Source organism: Homo sapiens, chromosome 21 (assembly GCF_000001405.40).
Source record: "Homo sapiens chromosome 21, GRCh38.p14 Primary Assembly".
NCBI lineage: Eukaryota > Metazoa > Chordata > Mammalia > Primates > Hominidae > Homo > Homo sapiens.
In genome coordinates, this window is record NC_000021.9 from 14769765 (window position 1) to 14775764 (window position 6000).

A 6000-nucleotide genomic window follows, 5' to 3' on the forward strand; every position below is an offset into this window, starting at 1 on the left:
TACTATTCATAAAAATATTGTAATATGAAACAAATAAATGTCATCTGCAAGAAATAATATCCTAATTTGCTGAAAATTCCCTACCTTCAAAAACCGCAATTAATTTTGCACCAACCTAATAAATCAAATTCAAAAAACTTTTTTGGAAACATTACTCCCAGTGAAAACATTCACATGTTAACAATTTGCTTTCTTCTTTGGATCTCCCTTCTTACCCTTCCTTATATTGTCTTACGCTTAATTTTCATAGGTCATTATTTCGTTAAAGCAAAAAAATAAGGGATTAAAAATAAATTCATCTTTGCCTGGTACCTACAAGGAAATGCCCTAAATGTCATTAATAAGAAACTTCTTTCCGTGTCACTTTTTTTTTCCTCAGGTTTTTTCTATTGCATGAACATTATTTGATGGGGTAAGTGTAAAATAATTACAGCAACACATATGTTGCACGTAGTCCCCAAAATACGAAGCAGCAAATTTGTGCTTTTTCATAAGTAGAGAAATAGAAATAAAATAACCTAAAATAGTGTTTCCAAAATGTAAGCCCTAGATCAGTAGCAACAATACCACTAGGAACTTGTTAATAATGCAAATTATTAAGGATCTATCTCATAGATAGATCCTTAATATTCAGTATCTATCTCATAGATAGATCCTTAATATTCAGTATCTTAATATTCAGTATCTCATAGATACTGAATCAGAAATTCAGAAGTGCAGCCCAGCAGTCTGAAGTTTAAACAAGTTCTCCAGGTGATTTTCATGTACCCTAAAGTTTGAGGATCACTGACATAAAGGTGGATTTTTCTAACTAGGATAAATGAATTGTCTCTACCTGTGTCCATACCTGAAGATCTTTAAGGAGCCCTGCTTCATGACCAACGACAAAGTAACAAACTTGTTACACAAGAAGCCCAGAGTTAACTGTGGAAGTTGCCTGTTAGTATTGAGAAGATTGAAATGGGCCTGGGTATGTAGCTTATAGAGGAAAAATGAAGACTTTATCATAAAAAAATAAAAATGCAAAGACTGGTGAATCTATGCAAGTCACAATGTAACTATTTTAACACTATTATATGTTCATAACTATTAGAAATGAAACAAAAATTCATTTAAGTAAACTAAAAGAATGTCACCTGAGGATGTGTGGTAGGCAGAATTCTGGCCCCTGTAATCTTTGTCCTTAGTTACTCCCAGGAATATTTTAAATTGCATGGCAAAGGGGACTTTGAAGATATAATTAAAGTAACTCATCAGCTGACTTTGAAATAGGAAAGATTATCCAGGTGGACCTAATCTAACCACATGAGCACTTAGAATCAGAGGTTTTTCTCTGGCTGGTAGCAGAAGGAGAAGTAAGGTTCAAAGCATAAGAAGGATTAGACCTCCTATTTTGGGCTTAAAAATTAAGGGGGCCATGTGTGAGGGAAATACAGACTCTAATATAAAACTGGATTCTGGAAACTACCAGTGAGTTTGGAAGCAGATTCTTCCCCAGACCCTCTAGATAAGAAGCATTCACCCTCACTTACACCTTGATTTCAGCCTTTGTAAAGTGCTGATCTGAGAGGACCTAGCTGAGCCATGCTGTACTCGGACTCTGATTCATGGACTGTAAGATAATGAATGGGTATTGTTTTAAGCTGCCAAATTTGTGGTAATTTGTTACAGCAGCAACAGTAAACAAATACTAGGTGTTAATTTTAACTGCTGTTACAGTCATCCCACTTTGAAAAGAGCCTGCTGCCTTTGCCAGCAAAAGAACCAACTGGCAATTTAAGATTCACAACACAAGGTCTTCACCAGCTTTTGTAACATTTAGAATATCTGGATGATCCTTTTGGCTTCTACAAACAAGCACTCCTTCAGCACATTTGTCTTGAGGGCACACTCACTTTTCTTGTAGACAAGACAGCAAGATCTAATATTTACATAACCTCTGGAAACTAAAAAGAAGTACCTGTCTCTTTCTTTTGTGCTCCTGCTTCAGAAGGATCTTTCTATGTACAGGAAACTTAGCTCACATGGTGCAGGGAAAAGCCAAAAGATAGCTCCACTGCCACAGCTTGGCAGACTTTAATACGTGACATATTGTCAGACCTCAGCACTTACAGGAAAACGGAGTCTTTCAAATGTGAGTTCAGTCCAGCAGTTTTTCATTTTGCAGACAAAGATTATAGATTTAACTCTTTTTATGTAAGGGAAGTATGAAAGGGACTCATAAGTTTATGAACATGATCCACATAGTAGAGTCCCCAGTTTCTTAGAGAAGTCATGCTGACAAGGAGACCTGGAGCAAAGGGGACACGTGGTATATTAGTTTTTCAGCACGGCTGTAATGAAGTACTGTAGACTGGATGGCTTCGACAACAGAAATTTATTTCTCACAGTTCTAGAGCCTAGAAATTTACGCTCAAACTGTCATCAGGGTTGGCTTCTTCTGAAGGCCCCTCTCCTTGGCTTGTAGACGGCAGTCTTCTGGTGTCTTCACCTGGTCTTCTGGGTATGTCTGTGTCCTAATCTCCTCTTCTTATTAGAACGCCAGTCATATTGGATTAGGGTCCACTTCCAATGACCTCGTTTGACATTTAATTACCTCTTTAAGATTGTTATCTCCACATACAGTCACATTCTGAAGTACTGGGGTAAAGACTTCAACATATGAATTTTGGAGGAACATGATTCAGTCCATAACAGGTGAAGTCCAGTTGTTTCAGGAGTATAACCTCATCTATTCATGACTGCCAGTGACCCTCCCAGACAATGCATCAGAAACTTTCCCACTGCTGTCAAGGAACCCTAGAAGAGGTTTATCTTCCAATTATGACCAAAGAGGATAACAGGTGTTTTTGCAAAACTTAGGTGGTGGGAAGTAATACAGCCAAGATAAAGCAAAGTTTCCTGATAAAAAACCCAGTGGCTTTTCTATTGCATTGTACCATCAGTCTTCATTTACAACAGAAAACTCCTCAAGAAATCATATGCACTCTGTCTTTATCAGAGTTAGGATATTCCATTACATTAGAAAATCATTAACTGTTTATCTCTTTGCATTCTCTCCATGCTTCCTGAAGTATCCATAGAATGCAGATGATAATTGTGGCTTAATATCATGTATTTCTTTCACAGAACATAAAAGTTAATTAAAATAAACCTTGACATTTATTGAGTCACAATGTTACAGATGCTGTGCTGAGTGCTTTCCACACATTATCTCAAGAAACTCACAATAACTGTATGAGCTAAATACTACGGTTACTCCAATGTTACAGAAAAGAGAACTGATGTTTAAAGAGATTCAATACCTTACCAATGCCAAAGAACCAGTATGTAGTGGAGCCAGGTCTACCAAAGACTATGCCAACTGCCCCTCTGATAGTGATTGTCTTCTAAATATAGTAAGCAAAACCTCTGTCATAGAATGAAGAAAAGTGACAACATCATTCATGAGTTCCCGTATATGATGAACAAATATGCTGGCAAAATCCACTACAATTTTTGTATTATTATATAATATAAGGACAGGTCATCACCTTATCATTACAAAGTTTGTTTCTGTATGTGAAATATTTCATGGGCTTCTAAAGGTGTGAAGCCTCTTTCTGTAACATACCAGAGTATAAGATTCTCTGTTTTTAACAAAGCATCACCTTCATATATTAAAATGAAATTAATCGTAGAACGTAATCTTCAGACAAATGACCACGTACTCTGGAATCCAGGTCCAAATCACTAACGTAATGGCTATAGCTGCATACTTCTAAGAAAGTGGAAAAAAGTTATGGGCATTTTCAAGAGAAAAACATTAGTGTCAAGTACCGCTTTAGCGAGGACAAAGAGACATCTCTTATCCTGAAAGCAAACCTAGACCAATTATTTTTCATGAACAAAAATTAAGCCATAACACACTAGTAAACTTCTTGCTAGGAAAAAACAATTAATATTTGAATAACGCTATAAATTCCTACTGATCTATTTCAAGTAAACTATTACCACTTCCTAGTAATATTTTTTTTTATTTATCTAGTAGGCTGTGGAGAGCAGCTTCTGTCTTTTCTCATCAAGCCTTAAGTTGAAACAACGCTGTCTGCAAATTCAGCGCCAAGACTAGGACTCCAGCTTCATTGAAAACCGGGAGGTCTGCTGGAAGCACCTCAACACTTATCCTCATCCTAAACTCTGGAGAGGCACAGCACCCTCTGCTGGTTAAAACCCTGGGGCTACAGCACAAATACCCTTCAAAGAAATGAAATAAAGATTTCATATAACCCTGTGCTGCAAAAACGTTCCACCAGCAGATTGGCACTAAAAGAAATGTTAAAAGAATTTCTTTTGGCACAGAAAAATTATACCAGATAAAAACTTGAATCTACACAAAGGAATGAAGAGCACCGAAAATGGTAAATATATGAATAAATATAGAATGAGATTGTCTTCTTTTTTAAGTTTCTTAAAAGATAATTGGCTCTCTGCTCCTTTCTGTTCCACAAACAGCCATGTGTTCTTGTGAAGTGCCAGGCACATACCTAAGACATAATGGTAAAGGTCCAAGTCACCAGATTTGTCCACATAGAGCACCTGGACTCTAGGGCGGCTTTAAAACTTCAACAAAGAGTCATCATCAATGACTCCTTCATTGTATAAACAACATGGTGTACATATTCCAGTATGATTTAATACATGGCAATTTCAGTGGCACTGTTGAGGCTGAGAACAAGAAGCTTGTCCACAATGGGAAGGCCATCTCTATTTTCCAGAAGCCATATGCTGCCTACATCAAATGGGTTGATGCTGTGCTGAATATGTTGTGGAGTCCATTGGTCCTGGGGCTCACTTAAATGGTGGAGCCAAAGGGGTCATCACATCTGTCCCTTCTACTGATGCCCTCACATTTTTGATATTCCCAACTTCAACACAGTTTCCCTCCCAGACTCCAAGAACCATGAGAAGTATGACAGCTCCCTCAAGATTGTCAGCAATGCCTCAAGTATCACCAATTGCCTTCGCCCTCTGATAAGTCATCCAGGATAACTTTGGCATCATGAAGGGAGCAAAGTTCTTATGATCACTGATACCAGAAGACTGGTAATGGTCCATCTGAGGAACTGGCATGACAGGGTGGGGCTGCCCAGCACATCATCTCTGTGTCTCCTGAATCTGCCAGGATTGTGAGCAAGGTTACGCCAGCTGAATGGGAAGTTCTCCAACTTGGCTTTCTGTGTCCGTGTCCCAACTGTGTTGGTTGTGGACCTAGCCTGCCATCTGGAGAAAGCTCCAATTGTGATGGCATCAAGAAAATAGTACAGCAGGTATCAGAGGGCCTGTAAGGAGCATCCAGGGCTACACTGAGAACCAGATTGTCTCCTTTGACGTTAACAGTGGTGCCTACTATTTATCTTTTCATGCTGGGGCTGAATTGTTCTCAAGGACCACTTTATCCAGCTCATTTCCTGGTATAATAATGAATTTGATTACAGCAAGAGTGGCAAACCTTATAGTCAATGTGGGCACCAAGGAGAAGAGCCCTGGGCCACTAGTCCCAGCAATAACAAGAGAAGAATAAAGAGGTTTTCAGCTGCTGGGGAGTCCTTGACCCAACTCAATTTCCCAACACACTAAAAAGCTCCCACTCCCAACAAGGTTTCTATCCCAGACTCCCTGAAGAAGAGAAGCAGCTTAGAGAGCCCTACCTTGTCATGTACCATCAATGTAATACAAGGTACTCCCCCCAAAAAAGATAATTTTTAAATAAAAACAATATGCTAGGGTTTGTAATAGATAGAGGTTGTAAATGTATAAAAGTGGCATATAGAACAGGAAGGAGGAATGGAAGTACATTGTCATGAGGCAGAGAAATGATATAGTAAGATTTGAAGACAGACTGTGATAAATTAAATATGCATTCATAAGCCCTACAGACAGAGCAATCACTAAAGTAATAAAGTGGTGTAGATAGCAAGTTGAGTGGTGATAAAATGGTATTCAAAAATGCTGAACCAA

General features: G+C 38.3%; 1 pseudogene, besides 2 other annotated features; it reads left to right on the forward strand.

Moving 5' to 3' along the window:
- Positions 2698-2867: an enhancer, noted in NCBI's record as "experimental_61617 CRE fragment used in MPRA reporter constructs". NCBI's record gives its function as "activates a minimal promoter by MPRAs in K562 erythroleukemia cells, with activity observed for the non-introgressed 21:16144868 variant allele {active_cell/tissue: K562}" and the evidence as "EXISTENCE:reporter gene assay evidence [ECO:0000049][PMID:34662402]".
- Positions 4539-5716, forward strand: GAPDHP16 (glyceraldehyde-3-phosphate dehydrogenase pseudogene 16; annotated as a pseudogene).
- Positions 4627-4796: an enhancer, noted in NCBI's record as "experimental_61623 CRE fragment used in MPRA reporter constructs". NCBI's record gives its function as "activates a minimal promoter by MPRAs in K562 erythroleukemia cells, with activity observed for the introgressed 21:16146797 variant allele {active_cell/tissue: K562}" and the evidence as "EXISTENCE:reporter gene assay evidence [ECO:0000049][PMID:34662402]".